At 47.4% G+C, this 20,076-nt stretch overlaps 1 long non-coding RNA gene across 4 annotated transcripts in view, besides 4 other annotated features; it reads left to right on the top strand.

Annotated features, from left to right (window-relative positions):
* Positions 1 to 20,076, top strand: part of LOC105371908 (uncharacterized) — a 42,983-nt gene that overhangs the window by 19,168 nt on the left and 3,739 nt on the right. For 3 of the 4 annotated variants that reach the window (XR_935000.2, XR_934999.2, XR_934998.2), the window contains exon 1: positions 18,371 to 19,039. This is a non-coding gene — a long non-coding RNA (uncharacterized LOC105371908). Of the gene's footprint in view, positions 1 to 16,194; positions 16,386 to 18,370; positions 19,040 to 20,076 lie in introns of those variants that run through there. The other variant, XR_935001.2, reaches the window with a different exon arrangement.
* Positions 10,357 to 11,045: an enhancer, noted in NCBI's record as "OCT4-H3K27ac-H3K4me1 hESC enhancer chr17:75806508-75807196 (GRCh37/hg19 assembly coordinates)". NCBI's record gives its function as "activates a minimal SCP1, AML or CMV promoter by ChIP-STARR-seq in naive H9 embryonic stem cells {active_cell/tissue: H9 hESC(naive)}" and the evidence as "EXISTENCE:reporter gene assay evidence [ECO:0000049][PMID:30033119]".
* Positions 12,283 to 12,783: an enhancer, noted in NCBI's record as "H3K4me1 hESC enhancer chr17:75804770-75805270 (GRCh37/hg19 assembly coordinates)". NCBI's record gives its function as "activates a minimal SCP1, AML or CMV promoter by ChIP-STARR-seq in primed H9 embryonic stem cells {active_cell/tissue: H9 hESC(primed)}" and the evidence as "EXISTENCE:reporter gene assay evidence [ECO:0000049][PMID:30033119]".
* Positions 17,037 to 17,990: an enhancer, noted in NCBI's record as "H3K4me1 hESC enhancer chr17:75799563-75800516 (GRCh37/hg19 assembly coordinates)". NCBI's record gives its function as "activates a minimal SCP1, AML or CMV promoter by ChIP-STARR-seq in naive H9 embryonic stem cells {active_cell/tissue: H9 hESC(naive)}" and the evidence as "EXISTENCE:reporter gene assay evidence [ECO:0000049][PMID:30033119]".
* Positions 18,943 to 19,896: an enhancer, noted in NCBI's record as "H3K4me1 hESC enhancer chr17:75797657-75798610 (GRCh37/hg19 assembly coordinates)". NCBI's record gives its function as "activates a minimal SCP1, AML or CMV promoter by ChIP-STARR-seq in primed H9 embryonic stem cells {active_cell/tissue: H9 hESC(primed)}" and the evidence as "EXISTENCE:reporter gene assay evidence [ECO:0000049][PMID:30033119]".

Genomic DNA, 20,076 nt, shown 5'->3' with positions numbered 1-20,076 from the left:
CCGGCCGAGGTGAAGTCTTTGACCATGGCCAAAAGTGAAAGCCACAGCCCACTCTTGGTCTCTCCCCCTGGGCTGGCCACCTGCAGGGACCGTGTGGCACTGGGCTCCCTCTGTGCATGAAGGGCTGTGCTCCTTGGTCCCTGGAGGGAGTGGCGGCCGTGTGGTGTGCCTTGGCGATGAAATGTGAATACAGCAATGCTGGCCACATCCTCTAGGGAGCATTGAATGCTTGCGTGACACTCACCAAGGTCGTGGAGGCCCAGTCATGCCCCAGAGGTCACCCAGAGCCTGGTGCCCCTTACAGGAGCCAGAAATAAACCTGTGCTGTTTTCCATCCTTTGACTTTCAGCATTTCTGTGATATCATAAGGAGCATATAGTTTGATTAAAAAAAATCGAGTCTGAAAATCTTCATCTTTGAATTGGAGTATTCAGTCCAATTTTCGCCATATTAGTCCAACCTTTAACACTTGTTATATATTGTTTAATAAATGTTGGCATGTTGGTTGAACATTTAATCCAATAACTGATTTGTTTGGGTTTAAACATACCATCTTACTGTGGGTTTTATATTTATCCCATCTATTCTATGTTCATTTTTTTCTTTCCTTCCTTGCCTTTTTTTTGGGATGAAATGAGTAAATCCTATTATTTCATTTCCTCTGTCATTAGCTTGTTAGTGAGACTGTCTTTTACTATTCTTGCAGTGGTGATTCTACTTGAGGTTATAGCATGCATCTTTGATTTACTGAAGACTAATATAGAGCAAAACTTTTACCACTTCCCAGACAAGGCCAGAACTTTGGAAAGCTTTTACACTATTTACCCCTCCTGCCTTTTTATGCTATTGTTTCCTTGTCATTTAATCCTTTTTATGTTTTAACCTGAATTTTTATTGCCTATTCATTTTGTTTTATGTAGTAAAAATTCATTTATATTTGCCCAAATGTTTACCTTTTCCAGGGATTTTCTTTATTGCCTTATTTTTTTAGTTTCCATCTGGGATTACACTCCTTTGCTCAAAAATCTCCTCTTTACCTATCTTTTAGTGTGAGTTGTTGGCAATAAATTCTTTCCTTTTTTTTTTTGAGGGGAAGTCTGGAAATGTCTTTATCTTACCCTCACTTTTATTTCTTTACTTCATTATAACAAAGAAAAGTGTTTATTGCATGCTGCTAAATGAATAAGGTAAAAACACACACTTACACAACATTAGTGTACAAGTGTGCAAAAAGATGATCAGAAATAAAAACACTTTACATAAACTTGGAGTTGTGGGGTTGTGGGTATTTTACATTTTTCTTCCTTACTTTTTTTCTATATTTTTCTAAATTTCTTATAATAATTATATATTCCCTCTTGTAATTAGAAAAAACTTTAGGTATACTAAATAAAGGTGTGAGTCATTGCTTAGAGAAAAGCCGGGAACGCCGGGAAAGCCGGGGATCTGTAATCTTACATCTGAGGGTTCTCTGGGCTTTAAAAAAATTATTCACCACCTACTGTGCATTTGGCACTAAATATTAGCTCTTTCTCTCGAATTTGTCTTGTAAAAATTATAGTTTAGCTTCCATGTTATATGTAAATTATTTATTAAAGTCTAGCATACATACAGAAAGTCACATACATTATAAATGCACAGCTTGATACATTTTCACTAAGTGAATATAGCTATGAAACCAGATCCCAGATCAAGAAACAGAACGTTACCAGTTCCCCAGAACCTCCCCCTTCCCCCGCCCGCCTGCTGCCTCCCAAGGCTCTTCTCATCACTATTGCTCCTAAGGTAAACACTGCCCTGGTTTCTGACAACAAAGGTTAGCTTGTTGTTGTTTTTGTCTCTGCCATCTTCATTCAGTGTCTGAAAGATTCTTCCAGGCTGTTAGGTATAGTCCTAGTTCATTCATTCTCATTGCCATGTAGCATTCAATGTTATAAATCTTACCACAGTTTATCTCTTCTAATGTTGATGGGTGCTGAGCTGTTTCCAGGTTTTTTTGTTTGTTTTGTTGTTGTTTTTATTTATTTATTTATTTTTATTTTTTGACGGAGTCTCGCTCTGTTGCCCAGACTGCTGGAGTGCAGTGGTATGATCTCAGCTCACTGCAACCTCTGCCTCCCGGGTTCAAGCAATTCTCCTGCCCCAGCCTCCCAAGTAGCAGGGACTACAGGTACGTGCCACCATGCCCTGTTAATTTTTGTATTTTTTGTAGAGACAGGGTTTCACCATGTTGGCCAGGCTGGTCTCGAACTCCTGGCCTCAAGTGATCCACCCGCCTTTGCCTCCCAAAGTGCTGGGATTCCAGGCGTGAGCCACAGCGCCTGGTCTGTTTCCGGTGTCTGACATTAGTATAATAGTATTTAACATTGCCGTGAACCCTCTTGTGCATATCTCTTGGTGAACAAATGTTTGCATTTCTATTGGGTCCATTCACCTTGCTTTTGAAGGATATTTTAGTTTTCTAGTCAATTTTTGGTTTCTTTTGGAATTTTAAAGATGTCATTCCATTCCACGTTTGTGTTGAGAATCAGCTATCATTTGAATTCTTGATCCTGTGAAGCTAATATGTTTTTGTTGTTGTTGTTGCTTTTGATATATTCTTTTTGTCTTTGCCTTTCAGCAAGTTTATGATGATGTACCAGGGAGACTGTGAATATGTGTGTGTGTGTGTGTGTGTGTGTGTGTGTGTGTGTGTGTGTGTGTGTGTTTATAATGCTTCTGCTTGGGGTTCTAAGTGCTTCTTGAATATGTGTCTTGATGTCTTTTGTCAGGTTTGAAAATTCCCAGCCGGTATCTCTTCAGATATTGCCTCTGCCTCTCCACCTACCTCCTCGTGGCCTGTGCCACTTCGAAACCGCTGAGTGCCTTGCAAACAACAGTGGCCCAGTGTGTCGAACTGACTTCTCTGGGCATCTTCTTTTCTCTCTGGGATCCTGTTGTCTCCTGATCCCTATAAATCCTGGCTTCCTAAATAGATCTGAATTCCAATGCTTGGCATCCAGCCCCATGGGATGGCTGAAACGGCTCAGTTTCTCCGTCTCTTAGGGGCTGTTGTCTTGTGAGCTTCTTGGCCCTCTGTCCAAGCCATTTATGGATCAACAGACACCCCAGGAAGGAAAGAAGTGTAGAATGTCATGATTAGCCCATGGGGTCTCCCTTCACTCTGGGGTCCTGGCCTGCCTGTTCAAGTCCTCCTGCCTTGAGAGCTCCTGGGTGTCTCACGTTACCCAGCTTTCTAGCTCTCAGTGGGGGACTGGTTGTCCATAGCGAGCCTGTCCCCTAGCACATCCTGACGAATGCAGCAGGGATCTCTGGTGTGCCTGTGGGCTCATTAAAAGAGAATGTAACTGTGGTTTTAGTCACAATGCCAGGAGGCCCCTGCAAGAGCTTCTAAGCCCTGAGGTTGGTATGTCCTCATGGATTAGTTCAGGGGGTTACAATGGAAACATTTGTTCCCTGAGAATCATGCCAGGGTCTTCAGTCTCCTTTAATTTATAGGAGAGTCTATTTCGGATTTTGGAAATCCACTTGATTTTCTGTATATTTATGAAGTGGCATTATCTATACAGCAGAAATGATAATTTATCCACAAATATTAAGCATCATGAAGTCTATCATATAAATCTGATGAGCAACTTATGGTTGGTAATTTTAGGATTGGCACAATACATTTATTTTTAATTTTAACCTTTTTTATAATTATAAAAGGAAGCTATACTCATTTATAAGAAAATTTTAGGACAACAGATATATAGGAAGAAAAAGTGAAAGCTTTCACAATCCTATCAATTTCAGTAACTATTAGTAATATGACATTTTAATCTGTATCATTTTCTGTGGATAGTAACACATATATGTATTGAAAAATAGAATTAGACTGTATATATTGTTCTGCAGTTTGCTCTTTTCATTCAGAAATACACTGCAGACATCTTCTGTGCTCAAGATCTCTTGATCTGTTTAAAGGTTATATAGTACTCCACTGCATGGCTGTGCCATAACTGATTAAGGGAAACCCTTATTGATAGACATTTATTGTGCATAAGTTAATATAAGGCAAGATTTAAAAATAATTCCCTCGAAAATAAAGATTATCTTACATTTCCTCTATTAGACTTTACTCAATGGTATTGTAAATAGAACTTTAAATAGTATTTTAAAGTGCAATACATAATCCCAGCACTTTGGGAGGCCTCTTGAGCCCAGGAGTTCAAGACCAGCCTAGGCAACATGGAGAAACCTGGTCTCTACCAAAAAACATACTAAAAATTAGCTGGCCTGGTGGTTCGTGCCTATAATTCCAGCTACTTTGGGAGGCTGGGGTGGGAGGATCACTTAGACCTGGGAGGTTGAGGCTGCAGTGAGCTGTGATCGTGCCACTGCACTCCAGCCCGGGTGATGGAGTGAGACCTTGCCAAAAAAAAAAAAAAAGCAATATGGTAAGTAAGTAGCTACCTCTCTTGTGGAAAGCATGAATATTCCCTTGCAAGATGAATGGATGAAACAAAACCAAATGAAAGCCTGTCCTCATATGAAGTAAATGTTCCCCGATGGCCCAGAATAAAATCTCCACTGAGATGGCACATTCTGAAAATTACTCAATGACCCAAAAGGGGATTTGTGGTGCCCAGGACGCTCAGTTAAAAATGAACGGAAAGAGGTTATTTCACAAAATATAGGGGTAGAAAAAAAGCAATATTTCTGAATTATTATTTTATATAACATGCTTTAAAATATGTAACTAAATAAAAAATAAGTATTATTAGGTAATATTTGAGTATTCTATTCTCACCCTAAAAAGTGTGAATTCTAATTGGCCAAAAAAATCCCCAAACAAACAAACTGCCTTTCTTTGGTGCCTTTTCATTTTGTTCACTTGCTCTTTGGGTCTGCCTTGTCCTGGGGGCACAGATGATCCATCCCTTGCTCCCAGTTTCTTTTGTTATTATGAGCAACACTGAATTAAATATTATTTATTATTATTTTTTTTTTGAGACGGAGTCTCGCTTTGTCGCCCAGGCTGGAGTGCAGTGGCGCGATCTCGGCTCACTGCAAGCTCCGCCTCCCGGGTTCACGCCATTCTCCTGCCTCAGCCTCCCGAGTAGCTGGGACTACAGGCGCCCGCCACCACGCCCGGCTAATTTTTTGTATTTTTAGAAGACACGGGGTTTCACTGTGGTCTCGATCTCCTGACCTCGTGATCCGCCCTCCTCGGCCTCCCAAAGTGCTGGGATTACAGGCGTGAGCCACTGCGCCCGGCTCAATTAAATATTCTTAAACTTTGTATACTTGAAGGTAAATTTGTAAAAGTGCTATGTCAATGGAATGACCACTTTAAAATGTTATATATATTGTCAAATTATCCTCATAAAGCTTACAGCAACTTACACTCCCGAAACAGTGTTTGACTGTATCTAGGGGCAACATTTTGTTAAAAGCAGTAGTTTCTGAGCATTTCTCATAGAATTGGCTTAGGCCTTTGGGACTGAGAGCAGGGGAATAATTCCAGGTCCCAGGCATTCACAGGGGCAGGAGGAAGGCTTCCCTGGGACCAGCCACCAGGCTGGAGACTGCAGGGCCAGAGGTAAGGCACCAAGCCTGGTGCAGACCCAGATCCCAGGCATGGCCTATGTCTAACCTGCCCGTCTCTGGCAAGTAGCTCTGAATGTTGGGCTGCTTCAGAATGAAAGCCTGACCTTGGACCCCGTAATCTCTGAGAAGCTCTCCCAAGTGGTGAATGTAGAGGATGGTGAGTTAAGCGCCCTGTTGTTATGGGGCCAGTGGGAGGCAGGCTGGTATTTCTCAGGCTCAGATCACAGCACAGATTATAAAAAGTCCCTCAGGCTGCCACGAGAAACTTTGGTCATAGCTAAGTTCACTCAGGCCCCAGCCAGGGGAAAGTCTCAACTGTGTAGACAGAGGTAGTTCCAGCAGCTGGCCTGGGACCCCATAAGTTCTACCCCTGGAAAAGGAATTAAGGGGGGTGGTCTCTGTTGCCCTGTGAGGTCTCCATCACCACCTCTTGCAGGTCTCATCGCCCAGCTAGCCGAGAACACGCTGACAGCTCTTCCCCTCCGCCACCTGTCTATGGTGTTGAAGCATTGGAAGGGGAAGGACCGTGTCCCGGTCAGGATTTAGAGTGACCTTCTCTAAAGCCTGAGAATGCAGGGCGTCTACACCTGCTGTCTGGGGCTGCCAGGCACTGACAGTGCAGTGAAAAATCCCAACAGGAAGTTGCAGAAGGGATGCTTGAGATTCATGCAGCTATGTTCTTACTTATAAGTGAGAGCTGAACACTGGATTCACATGGTTATAAAGACGGAACAATAGACACGGGGGACTCCAGAAGTGGGGAGGGAGGGAGGGAGGGAGCCGAGGCTTGAAAAACTACCTATTGGGTGCTATATTCACTATTTGGGTGACGGACTCAGTAGAAGCTCAAACTCCAGCATCATGAAATATATCCACATAACAAACCTGCACATGTACTCTCTGAATCTAAAACAAAAATTAAAAAGAGGCCGGGTGTGGTGGCTCACTCCTGTAATCCTAGCGCTTTGGGAGGCCGAGGTGGGTGTATCACCTGTGGTCAGGAGTTCGAGACCAGCCTGGCCAACACGGCGAAACCCTGTCTCTACTAAAAATGCAAAAATCAGCTGGGCGTGGTGGCGGGTGCCTGTGAGCAGAGATCGTGCCTTTGTGCTTTGCCTGGGCAACAATAGCAAAACTCCATCTCAAAAAAAAAAAAAAAAAAACTAAACTAAAAAGAAAGAAATTCGTGTCTACAATTAATTTAGGAGTTAAGCATGTGAGAGAAGTGTGTGTGCATACATGTTGCATGTACATGTGTGCATGTTTCTATGTGTGTGTGTCATGTGCCACACATGTGCATGTGGACGCCCATACATGTGTACAGGGCATGCAATGGAAATACACATGGAAAGACATGGAATGGAAATGCAAATGTAAATAAAATAGAACCTTTGTCCTCCAGCAACACATGGTGGGATAGAGGTTGGAAAGTGTACGCGTAACAAACCACCTCAACATTTAATGGCTTAAAATAACATTGATTATTTCTGTTTTCTGTGGATTGGCTGGGCAGTTCTTTTCTAGGCTGTTTGGCTGATTCGTATGGCAAGCTGTTGGCTCGGCTGGCGCTGGGGCTCTGGGGTGGCTTCGCTTGCCTTCTGGCAGGTGGCAGGCTTGTTGGTCTAGAATTGCAGCTGAGATGGCCCATCTCTGCTCCATGTTGCTTCTCATCCTCCAGGAGGTGACCTGGGCTTCTTCTCAAGGTAGTTTCAGGGCTCCTAGTACACAAGCACTTTCGAAGCCTCTGATGGTGCCACACTTGCCATTCTTTCATTGGCCAAAGTCAAACACATGGCCAAGCCCAGAATCAGTCAAGGAGGGGGCTACTCAGGGCACGGGTACAGGCAGGCATGAATTAATTGGAGGCCATTATTCCAACGATGTATCCCAAAGGGGCAAGAAGATAGAATCTATTTTGGCAGGCAAATGATAAAAATAACATTCTAAAAGTTCACCATCTTAATAACAAAAAGTCCTACTTAACGCCCAAGTTAGACAAGGAGTGGTCAGTTTAGGAATTGGCTTTCTGCCAGGATGTACCCCTCTCTGACTCAGAGGTTTAATTATGAGCTTTTCTCTGTCCTTGCCCCTTCCAGCCTGTATTATTAGTCTGTTCTCACACTGATAATAAAGACATACCCAAGACTAATTTATAAAGGGAAGAGATTTAATTGACTCACAGTTTCATATGGTTGGGGAGGCCTCACAATCATGGCAGAAGGCGAATGTGGAGCAAAGTCACATCTTACTTGGCGGCAGGCAAGAGAGCATGTGCAGGGGAACTACCCTTTATAAAATACTCAGAACTCGTGAGATGCATTCACTATCACGAGAACAGTATGGGGGAAACTGCCCCCATGATTCAATTATCTTCTCCTGGCCCTGCCTTGACACATGGGGATTATTACAATTCAAGATGGGATTTGGGTGGGGACACAGCCTAACCATATCACAGTCTCTATCCTGTATGTATAATTAAAAGGCGATTACAGCTGTTTTTGGCTTAAAAAATTAAACATGACCATCTTGCTCTAAAAAACATCCCTAGATGGCCCCAAATAGAGAAAATCACAAGTAAAGTGGCATAGACAAGAAGAACTAGATGGAAAAGACAAGGCAGGTACAGGGAAAAGGACTATAAGGTGGGAGGCTCGGTGAAACACCTGCTTCCTAGGGTCAAGTAAAGATCAAAGCTCAAGGAATGTCTACCTGAACGGAAACTCCTTTTATTCATTATCTATGGCTGCATCACAAATTTCCTCAAAACTTAAGGGATTCAAATAATAATAACTATTTGTTATTGCCCATAGTTTCTGTGATTCAGGAAATTCAGGAGCAGCTTAGCTGGGTGGTTCTAGGTTGGCATCTCTCCTGAGCCTTTTGTCAAGATGTTGGCAGGGCTAGAGTCATTTGAAGGCTTAACTGGGGTGGGAGAGTCTGCTTCCAAGATGGCTCATTCATGTGGTGAGCAAGTAGTTGCTGGCTGTTGGCTGGAGGCCTCAGTTCCTCTTCATGTGGAATTTTCCATGGGGCTCTTGAGTATCGTCACAATATGGCGGCTCTTTCCCTAGAGGAAGGGATGCAAGAGAGAGCAAGTGAAGGCTGCAATGTGCTTATGACCTAGCTTTGGAAATCACAGGCCTTTGGGGTAAAGAAGGCCTGGAAGGTGGCTATGGTCTTTGGGTTCTCCAGGGTACAGTCCATAGGCACCTCCCACCCTAGAGCCCAACCCCATTGGTGTTGGCCCTGAACCCAACCTCCACGTTCTGGCTGATACCCCAGTGGCTGCTCTCTGGGCCCTGATCAGCCAACAAGTACTCTATGACCTACAAATATGCTAGTGACACACAGACTCCAACGGCTGGACTAGCTCAGACTTCAGTGAAATAGACATCAGCCAGGTGAGGAGCTCAGCTTGCCATCTGTCTCCCTGGGCCATACTCATTGATGACGAGGTCAATTTCTGCTTTTGCCATCTTCCCACAGAGGGCCCAGCAAGCTTGGCCGCTGAGCTTTCTTGGGACATGGTGACTTCCTTCCTAGAAGGAAGTCCCTGCTACTTTCTGCCAGTGCTCAGGTTAGAGATGGGATTGCTTGTGTGTGGTCTCATTTCCCTTCCTGACCCCCAGGACAACCTTTCCTTATTCACTGTGACACTGAATGCCACACCTTAGACAGTAGTTGCTTGACGTATTTTGCCGAATGGATGAAAAGCACCCCAGAGACCCCACAGTGCCCTGGGGCATCATTCTCACTGTATTCTATGTGGCTCTACCCCAGCCCCAACCCATTTCCAAATCCCTCTCTGTACACTGACCACAGAGAAGTAGAATGATTTGCAGGGAGGCTGAGCATTTGGGGAGGAGGACATCTCAGGAGGAAGGAGGTGGTGGCCCTGGCAGATGGTCTTCGTGCATGGGACCGGATGTCCAGTCCCTCAGCTCCAGCCAAGGCAATACAGATTCTCCTGGGGACCTGAGGCGGACTCCTCCACATCTTATTTCTAAGCACAAATCCATCTCCATCCCCTTTTGCCTCCTCCGCATGCTCGTTCCTGCCGGCTCAGCACCCTGGAGGGAAGTGGGATATGGCCCAGCAGGTCACCTAGAATAAAGTAAGTCATCAGAAAAGGTCCCTGATTCATCAGAGGGCTTTGGCTGCCAAGCAAATGCTCTTGAAAGCTTGCTTTCTTCAGCTGCTGCGTCTCAGGGGCAGGGACTTACAGTGTTTGCTTTTCAGCCAACCACCCTCTTGACTCAGAGGCTGAAGTGCCCAGGAAGCAGGGGCAGAAGGCCCCAATGTAAGGTGAGCATGGGGTGAAGTGAGCCCCGAATTTGGGAGAGCAAAGTATGGCTCTGCCTAGCCAGACGACCTCTGGATTTGGGAACACGAATATGATAATAAAAACAATATGTGCTCCTCAGTGATGACACTGATTGAACCTTTCCCTGGGTCAGGCATTGGGCTGATGGTTTTGCAGGTTGTCTCTTCCTTAATCCTCACATCACCCTCAAAGGGTGTCTGTTAATGCTCCCATTTGGATGATAAAAAAGCAGAGGTTGCCTGAGCCGGATTTGCCAGTTCTAGAGTTTGATCTCTTCACTGGCATGAGATGCTGCTTCTTGGCCCCAGGGTCTGTCCTTGAAGCAAATGAAGTCCAACCTGCACAAGCATCCCCAGGGTAGGGACACGTGGACTGCTGGGGGAAATCACAGGGAAGGGGTGAGAATGGAGCCGTCTTCCTTTTCTGAATGAGGGTGGTGCCCTGAAGATTTATCCCGCCCCTTGCTGGTGCAAGGTTGTGGAGGGCCCAAGAGTAGCAGGCACATCTGGGCACATGGAGGCTGGTATGAGCATGTGGGTGTGGAATACAGAAGACCCTAAACAAGAACTGAGATCTGAACCTTTCACAAGGTAATGCCCCAAATAGCAGAGCAAGTGATGCAAAGGATTTCATAACTGTGGTGTCATGCCCCAGAGATGCAGCTGACCAGCCTGGAGCCTTCTGTCTCATCTGGGCCTTTTGTTTTCTGTCCTTCTGCAACTGGAGACAAGCTTATTCTCAGCCCCTCAGCCTGGATTGGTGTCCTGGCTGGGCTCCGAAGAGCAGAAAGGCCATGCATGTTCTCTTTCCTTTACCCATGCCAGAAGCTGTGTGAGTCATGTGTTTGTATTTTTAGCAACACATAGGAATTGCTGCATGACAAATAATTGGGGGGGGGGAGTGGAGACACTTGCAAAATTAACATAACAAAGGCAGTTATTTGGATCTAACTCTCAGGGATAGAGGCAGCCTGGCAGTGCTCCTTGATCCAGGAAAGGCAAGAGAAATGAAGGGCTGACGGTGGGGTTGCCGGTGCCCCAGGAGTGGAGGCACCCAAAGGTTTTCTATGGGTAGCAAAGGAAAATAGCTTTTCCGGGTGGGCAGCTGGCATGGTCCTGGAGACCTGGGCATTGTATGTGCTGTTCTAGTGTGATCACAGCAAGTTTGCTTCACTTAGAAAGGCTAGAGAATGTGGATTTCTTCCTGTGGACTCCCTAGGCCCCTAAATGAGCCCCACAGCCTCCTGGGAGTCTTGCCCATTTCAATCACTTGTTATCTTCACCATCACCCCGTTACCACCACCATCATCGCCACCATCACCATCATCACCACCATCACCATCACCATCACCATGATCACCACCACCATCACTATCACCATCATCATCACCATCACCATCATCATCACCATCACCATCATCACCACTATCACCATCACCACCACTACCATCACCATCACCAGCATCACCTCCATCACCATCACCACCATTATCATCACCATTACCATCACCACCATCATCACCATCATCACCATCATCACCATCACCACTATCACCATCACCATCGCCATCACCATCATCACCACTATCACCATCACCATCACCTTCATCACCACTGTCACCATCACCATTATTACCACCGTCACCATCATCATCACTATCATCACCATCACCATCATCACTAACTACCATCACCATCACCACTACCATCATCACCATTACCATCATCACCACCATCACCATCATCTTTACCATCATCATCATCATCATCACTATCATCCATGGAGAGTTTGACATGTCCATCTTCCTGAACATGTTGCACACATTATCTGATTGAATTTATCCTTCATAACAGCTGTGGGGAGTACATGAAAATGATCCCATTTTGCAGAGGCAAAAACTGAGGACCAGAGAGATTTGGGTCTGACCTCAAAGATGGATAATCCCGAGAATGGGAGGAATTACCAAGGGCTCTCTGGATGCCCTAGTCTCAATCATGGCCTCCTCAGAGTTATACTGAGTTATGCATGACCACAATAGCATGGGCAGAGAAAAGGGGAATGAATATTCCTAGAACTTGGGGCCTGCCTCCCAACCACCCCCCTATTTTTTCTTTTGAATCTTTACTACATTGGTGAAAATCATATGGAAATATCTGTAGATCCTGAGCAGGGTCTAGGTAGCAAATAAACAGAGTAGGGTGTGAAGGGACAAAGTTCTTAGTGGCTGCGGCCCACCTGGCCTTCTGGAGTTTGGCGAGGGAGAACCTGGGATGCGGTGAGGACACTCAAGCCCTGGTCCCACCTTGGCACTCACCCACCTTGTGACCTTGGGTCAGGCCCAGAGGCTGGCTCTCTATCAGTCCAAAGAGGTGAGCAGGGCCTGCCCTGAGTGTGGAGGGAGCAGCAAATGAAACCAAGCCCATACCCCCAGCATTGCACATTTCACCCTGTATGAGTGTCCTGTGGCCGCCGTAACAAATTAGTGCAGGCTTGGTGGCTTCAAACAATGGAAGTTTATTCTCTCACAACTCTGGAGGCCTCAAGTCTGAAATCCGGTAGGGCCATGCTCCCTCTTGGAGGCTCTAGGGGAGAACCCTTCCTTGCTTCTTCCAGTTTTTGCCGGCTGCTGTGTTCCTTGGTTTGTGGCCATATCACTCCAATCTCTGCCTCCGTGGTCACATGACCTCCACCTCTGCTGTCTGCATAATCTCCCTCTGCCTGTCTTTTATAAGGATACCTATGATTGGACGTAGGGCCCACCCACAAATTCCAGGATAATTATCTCATTTGCATCACACTTTAATTCACAGAGCACTTTCCCATCTTTCATTTATTTTGTCCCCTCCACAAGCCCGTCAGATAAGCAGGGAAGACATATGTTTACCCTTCTTGTATGTGCATCACGCTTGGACAATTCACTAGTGGGTTGTCAAATGACTATAGAGGGATACTGAGGCCCAGAAACCTTATACCAACTGTCTAAGGGGCCAGAGTTTGAGCAGACTCAGAAGGGTGGTCTCCTCATCTCAAGACCTTCCACTTAATTACATCTGCAAAGACCCTTTTTCCAAATAAGAGCTCAGTCACAGGTTCTGGGGATTAGGACATGAACACACCTTTTTGGGGACCATTATTCAATCCACTACATACTTCCTGCTGAAGACATGTGGGGTCCCACTGCTCCTGAGAAAAGTGGAAACTTCTGACCTTGACACCCAAGATCCTCTTTAGCCTGGTTCTTCATCCCCTCTCCAACTTTATTATCTATTACGAACCTGCAAAACATGAAGCTTATACAAGCCCCCATCATCATCATCATCATCATCATCATCATCATCATTAGGGATGTCTTCTAGAAGGTAATAGTATCCAAGTAGAGTCCTGACTTAGAAGTTAGTCTTCTAACTCCTTTTGAGCCTGCTCTGACTCTGGCCTCTTGGACAGTTGACCTAAGGTATTAGGGCCTCAGTTTCCCTCTGCAATCACTTGACAACCCATTTAGTGAGCTGTCCAAGTGTGACGCACATACAGGAAAGGTAAACGTATGTCTTCCCTGCTTATCTGACAGGGTAATGGAGAGGACAAAATACATGAAAGATGGAAAGCACTCTGTGAATTAAAGTGTGACGCAAATGAGGTGCATGCACGATCATTCTCGTCTCCTGGGATTTGGCCACCTGGATGCTGGAATGATCCTGAGCTTCCTGAGGCAACCTTGGCATTTATAACAAGTCAGCACCCTTTGCTTCTGGGAAGAAAAGCACGAGGTTTCTGAGGGTTGGAATAATGCAGAGAGGTAGCTCCTAAATTGTCTGCTTCTGTGAGCTCAGGGCTGTTTCACTGTCTCTGGCCGCTTGGCATCGTTGTGTTGAGGGCCCCCTCACAGACATCAGTGGTGTCTGTACTAGGGTGGCACTGGAGATCCAAGCCAGACCCTCAGAGCCAAGCCTTTGCTCCAGCCTACCTGGAGAAGATGGCTGTGGCCCTAGAGACCCTCCCGGTCACCCCCAAACCAGCAATGCAAAATTTATTCCTACTGTTATTAACAGTATTGGGCATTGCAGGAGCCGTTGCCAGTCTCCATCACTTGGTCACACGTGACCTGAATCCCTAGAGGAGGTGAGGCAGGAGCTGATGGCTGGTCACTGAAGCCCATATCCAGCCCAGTGCATATCACAGCCAAGTGGAAAGATGGGGAGGGAACTGGGGAGACAGGATGGGAGGCATGGCGACCTGGGCTGTTCCAGCTCCACCTGCCCTGGCATCCTCCCAGTTTCATCATCTTGGTGGACTGTCCTTTGCAAAGCCCCTTGCCTCTGTCCAGCCTGCACACCCACGTCGGCACCCCTGAGTACCCCAACCTCTCAGGCCCCACAGCATCTCAAAACGGTTCATTGGAATTGCCCTGGGTTTTCTTTTTTTTTTTTTGTAAGTGTGAAAATAGCATAACGGCCTTGCGGGTGACCCTTGAATAATGTGGGGGTGAGGGGCGCTGGCCCTTAGAGACCCCGATGCAGTGGAGAATTTGAGTATAAATTTCAATTTCTCAACACTTAATTACTTGATCAGAAGCCTTACCAATATCACAAGCAGTCAACGAACACCTACTTTGTATGTCTTTATGTGTTATATGCTCTATTCTTACAATAAAGTAAGCTACAGAAAAGAAAACGGTATTAAGAAAATTGTAAATAGCAGGCTGGGAGTGCTGGTTCATGCCTGTAATCCCAGCAGTTTGGGAGGCCGAGGTGGGTGGATCACTTGAGGTCAGGAGTTTGAGACCAATCTGGTCAAAGTGGTGAAACCCCGTCTCTACTAAAAATACTAAAATCAGCTAGGTGTGGTGGTCGGTGCCTGTAGTCCCAGCTACTTGGGAGGCCGAGGCACGAGAATTGCTTGAACCTGGGAGGTGGAGGTTGCAGTGAGCCAAGATCGTGTCAATTCACTCCAGCCTGGGTGATGGAGTGAGACTCCGTCTCAAAAAAGCAAAGAAAAGAAAATTGTAAGAAACAGGAAACGTATTTACTAATCATTAAGCAGAATTGGATCATCCTAAAGGTCTTCACTTTGAGTAGGCTGGGGAAGAAGAGGAAGGTGTGTGTGTTGGGGGGAGGCTGGTCTTGCTGTCTCAGGGGTGGCAGAGGCAGAAGAAAAATCTGTGAATAAGTGAACCCATGGGGTTCAAACCCATGTTATTCAAGAGTCAACTGTAAATATATGTTTGAAAAAATAGATCACCCGTGAGCCCCTCTGCCTGACTGTCCATCTCAGCCTCTGCTCTTCGTGTTCTCAGCTGTATCACACACATATTCTCATGGTCTCTGTCTTTTTTTTTTTTTTTTTTTTTTTGAGAAGGAGTCTCACTAGGGTAGAGTGTAGTGATGCAATATTGACTCACTGCAACCTTCACCTCCTGGGTTCAAGTGATTTTCGGGCCTCAGCCTCCCGAGTAGCTGGGATTACAGGCACCTGCCACCACGCCCAGCTGATTTTTGCATTTTTAGTAGAGATGGGGATTTGCCATGTTGGCCAGGCTGGTCTCAAACTCCTGACCTCAAGTGATCCACCCGCCTCAGCCTCCCAAAGTGCTACGATTACAGGTGTGAGCTGCCACACCTGGCTCTCATGGTCTCTTTGCTGCCTGTTTCAGTCTCTTCTGATGTGAAATTAGGTGTTCTCGAGTATCACCTCCTTGGGGTCATTCTCTTTTCTTCCCCACGCATGTTCAGGGTGTGAGCCACTGGCCTCCCCTGGCCAGTACGGCAGCTACCCCTCATCTGACATCCCCTCCCCCATCTGGCGTCCCCTCCCCCATCTGGCATCCCCTCTGTGCCATAATCCAGGCTGCACTGTCCTGACCCCTTGCCACGTCCTCTGTGGCACCTCCCAAACAGTCCCAGTTCATTTCCTCCAATTTGGAGCCTGACCGTCTCTCTGCATTTTTTTTTTTTTTTTTTTTTGAGGCAGAGTCTTGCTCTGTTGCCCAGGAGTACAGTGGCCCGATCTCAGCTCACTGCAAGCTCAGCCTCCTGGGTTCAAGCGATTGTCCCGTCTCAGCCTCCTGAGTAGCTGGGATTACAGGCGTGAGGCACCGTGCCCGGCCCCATTTTAATCCTTTAGAATGTTTCTAATATATCACTGTAAAGATTATGAAATGAATACATTTAAAATCGGTCCTTCCTCTCAGCCAGCGGCTTTGCTCCTTCATGCAGGGATGTCGTCATGCATGTGGACAAGCGTTCAGGATGACGACAGTCATGTCCTCCTTTTTACTACAGGAGATCTGTCTTTCCCCCTTCCGGGGCCCACGGCGAAGACAAAAAGAGAACATTTATGAGTACCTGTGACATGCAATGCACTGCACCTCGTGCTGGGGGTGCAGGGCAAGGTGTCAACCCCCGAAGAGTGCTCAGACCTGTGGGGCAACAAGCCTGTAACCAAACCGAAGGCGTGGTGCTCCACAGAAGAGGTGAGTGTTGAATGGAGGGGACCCCAGTTCAGCCAGGTGAGGCTTCGACTGGGACGTGGGTCAGCATTTGCTGGGCTGAGCAGGGATAAGGCAGAAACTTCCAGGTTGAGGACACGGAGGTGTGAAAGGGCTTCCAGTCTCTGCGTGGCAGGCCTGGTCAGAGGGCCGGGCGTAGAGGGAAGGAGCTGGGAAGCTCAGTCAAGGTCAGGTGGCGAAGGGCATTGGGTGCCAGGCTCAGGGTTTTGCATCTGCTCTTAAGCAGAATCACTGCGGGCTCCGCAGCAGGGCAGGTCCCTGTAAGGAAAGATGACTGCTGGCAGCAGCTTAGGGGAGGAGAAGGCATGGAGGGGTGGTTGGGGGGTGGTGGCAGATCAGGAGGCAATTGCAACAGCTCAGGGAAAACTGTGGGAGCCTGGGCTGCTCAAGATGGGAGCAGATGGAAAGAGTGGAAATACTCAAGAAGTAGGATCTGAAGTTCGACGACGTATAGACAGACCCGGTGTGTGTGTGTGGGTGGCGGTGGCAGAGGAGTGGGGGATGGACTGCACTGCAGCTTTGACTCAGGAACTCTGGGTGAAGGAGCCAATTTGGGGAGAAGGCAATGAGTTCTGTTCTGAATTGATTGAGTTTGATGGGCTCACTGGGACGTCCAGGTTGAAAGGCACAAAGGAAGATAAAAGTGCAGGCCTGAAACTCAGGGCCAAGGCAGGGCATTTTACATCATTCAAATGGCATATGAAAGAAGGTCTAACGCTGTGCAAACACATGGCGAAAAACGCAGTATAAATAGTGACCGGTGATTCCTGGTGATGTGTCGCCTGCCTTGAAGATTGAGGTCTACAGGATCAGGAGTGTGGGGTGTTGGGCTGAGTTTTTTGGGGTGAGATGGGCAGAGTCTGGTGGAGGTGGTCGTGGAGAAGAGCAAGCCATTACTCAGTTGCTTGGGGCGGAAGTAAAGGTGGAGGAAAGAGGAGTGGAAAAGAAACAGGGTGTTGCTTGTGGTGGCTCCCCAGTAAACATTGCCTGCTTCCCACTGGGCTCACTAAGGCCCACCCAAGTATGCCCATGTGTTTAGGCACTTGTGCACACACACACTCACACACGCACACACACGCACGTGCACAGACATGCATGCGCACACACACGCACACACATGCACACACATGTACATACACATGCACACAGACATGTACGCACACACGCATGCACACACACGTACACACACGCATGCACAGCAAGGGCAGCTTTGAGAAGACCCAGGGATGAGTGACAGCTATCTCTGTCTACCCAACCCTAGTAAGTTTTCTGAAAGAAGAAGAGGACACCCTCCCCTCCCTTCTCGCCTGCCTTACAGTTCAGCCATTTTCTCTCAAACTCCAGCATCTGGCCTCCTAGCTGCCTGGGGAGCAAGCGTCCCTCAAGATTAAAACAAAAAACAAAAACCCTCTAACCTTTTCTGAAGGATAGGCCTGCGCGGTCTCCAAATTGGAGACGGACCCCATCACTTCCATTAGAGCGTCTTTTAGCCTGGAGGGTGATTCAATCCGAATAGCTCCCCTGCACCTCAATAGAGCCCAGGTTCCCTGTAGCTGGGCTGAGGCTTGGCTGCAGAGATTTTGGCTTCATAGAAGACGTTAGGAGGTAGGGGTCTGGAGGTCCAGTTTCTCCTTTTTTGCACATCAAGGAGAGAATCAGACCTTTCAGGAAGGGGGCTGGTTTTGTCCAAGAGTGTGAGATTTTTCTAGGATTTTTATTTCTTCTTTTACTCTCCCATTAACCTGGTGGGGACCCCACCCCGACTGTTTCCCACTTTAGCCTCCTCTTCTGTATTGTTTTGGTTTTTTTAAGCCTCCGTGCCCAGCTTCCATTATGGAAAGTGCTGTTTATGTCCAGGGCGCCTTAAAAAGGCAGCTAACAGCTCTCTGGCTGCGGTCCTCTTCGCTTGTTTCCCTGGCAACCAGAGGCAGGGAAAACAGAACCTGTCAGATGGAAAATGTCAGTTACAGCAGATCTGGGAGCGCAGGAAAGAAGTGGTGGGATGGAGCGAGGGAGGAAGTGGGAGGGCCGGCAAGGGCTCACCCTCCTGCCCACCTGGGCTGGTGCCCTCCTCCCAGCGAGCCAGGGGATCAGGGAGGCTGGCTTCTTGAACGAGAGGGGCTGCTACCAGAGCAGGCAGCTTCAGAGATGGGGGAGGGGAGGGGACTGCCACCTAGGATTAGCAGGATGGTCTTTGGCAGCCGTCCCGCCCAGCTGATTATCACATTGTTTTAAAGGTCATTGGGCTTCTTGAGGCCCCCAGCAGTGCGTTCTAGAAGCCCCTCCAGTCGAACTTAAAGCTCTGGGTCTAGGTAGCAGAAGGGGGAGGGTCGGGGAAGAAAAAGATATCAAACCCCAGTATCCAAAGACCCCGGAACCGTATCGATCCCGACCCCTGCTTGGTATCGATTGATCAATGCCCCTGCCGAAAAGAGGAATTGCCCTTTAAAATGGTTGGGAAAGAGATTGGGAGGGAGGGTTGATATTAATCAAAGCAGGCCCCTCAGAAGGACGGCAGAGCAGCACGGGGAAGAGGAAACAAAAGAAGGAGGTTTGCCGAACAGCCTCGAATATTACGGCGGGAGAAGCGATCAGTTAATGGCACTGGATGCAATGAGGTGTGGGGTGTGGGGTGGGTGCTCCTGAGAGTAAGGAGGGCGTGTGAGAGAGTGTGTGTGAGAGTGTGTGTGTGTGTGTGTGTGCACGCAGCATTAGACACATGCTCTCTGCAATCTCCTGCTGTTGTCCTCAGACATTCCAGGAGCTTCCCTAATCTCCTGATTTTTGGGAGAAACTCCCGCCCCCCTGGCCCAGTGGACCTGAGAGAGTGAAGGGAAGACAGGCTGCTGTCCACAGTCAGCTGAGCCCCTGCTGTGCGTTTAGGGTGACAGATGGTGTTTACTTCAAATAAAAAAACAACAGCACCGTTGTGTGCGTGTGTATGCGCACGTGTGTGCATGCGAGTGTGTGTATATTTATGTGCATGCGCACACGTATTTGCGCGCACATATGTGTGTGTGCATGCATGTGCACGTGTGTGTACGTGTGCGTGCATGTGTGTGCATGCGTGCGTGTGTGCACACCGGCTTGCATACGGCAAGCTTCAGAGCAGGAGGAGCCAGAACAAGATCTGGGTTCTGTTCATCCTCAAAGGTGGGAGTTTAAGCCCCTGAACATGGGATTTGAGAAGGAGGCAAAGGAGGTAAAGGATGGTCACCAAATGCGGTGCTGGGTTTCCTTGAGGGACACATGGCAGGGCACCTTCTGCTGAACACCAGACATGCCCAGACAGTTGAGTTTGTTCTGCTTCAGGGATTTTTCTAACCCCAGACTGGTCTAATTATTGGCTTTAGGGTGTCTGAAAATGTACCCTCCAGTTTCCTGGTTAGGGAATGGTGTGTGTCGAGGGGCAGGGTCTAGCCCATAAAGCTGCCTTAGTTTATGTGGGTGGGGCTGGGGGTGGGGGGAGGGTCCCTGAAATGACATTTCCTTCTGGCAAAAGGAGTGTAGAGGTTCCTCAGGCCCTGGCTGGGTACAGGTTTGAGGGCATCTCTTATCTTCTGGTTTCCAGGGCAACCTCAACAATATATGGCCACCTTAATACCCATTCCCACTTAAGCATCCTTAGAAAGGAAACAAACAAAACCTCCAAACG

The sequence above is a fragment of the Homo sapiens genome, chromosome 17 (genome assembly GCF_000001405.40).
Source record: "Homo sapiens chromosome 17, GRCh38.p14 Primary Assembly".
Taxonomy (NCBI): domain Eukaryota; kingdom Metazoa; phylum Chordata; class Mammalia; order Primates; family Hominidae; genus Homo; species Homo sapiens.
This window is presented reverse-complemented; position numbering and strand designations above follow the sequence as displayed.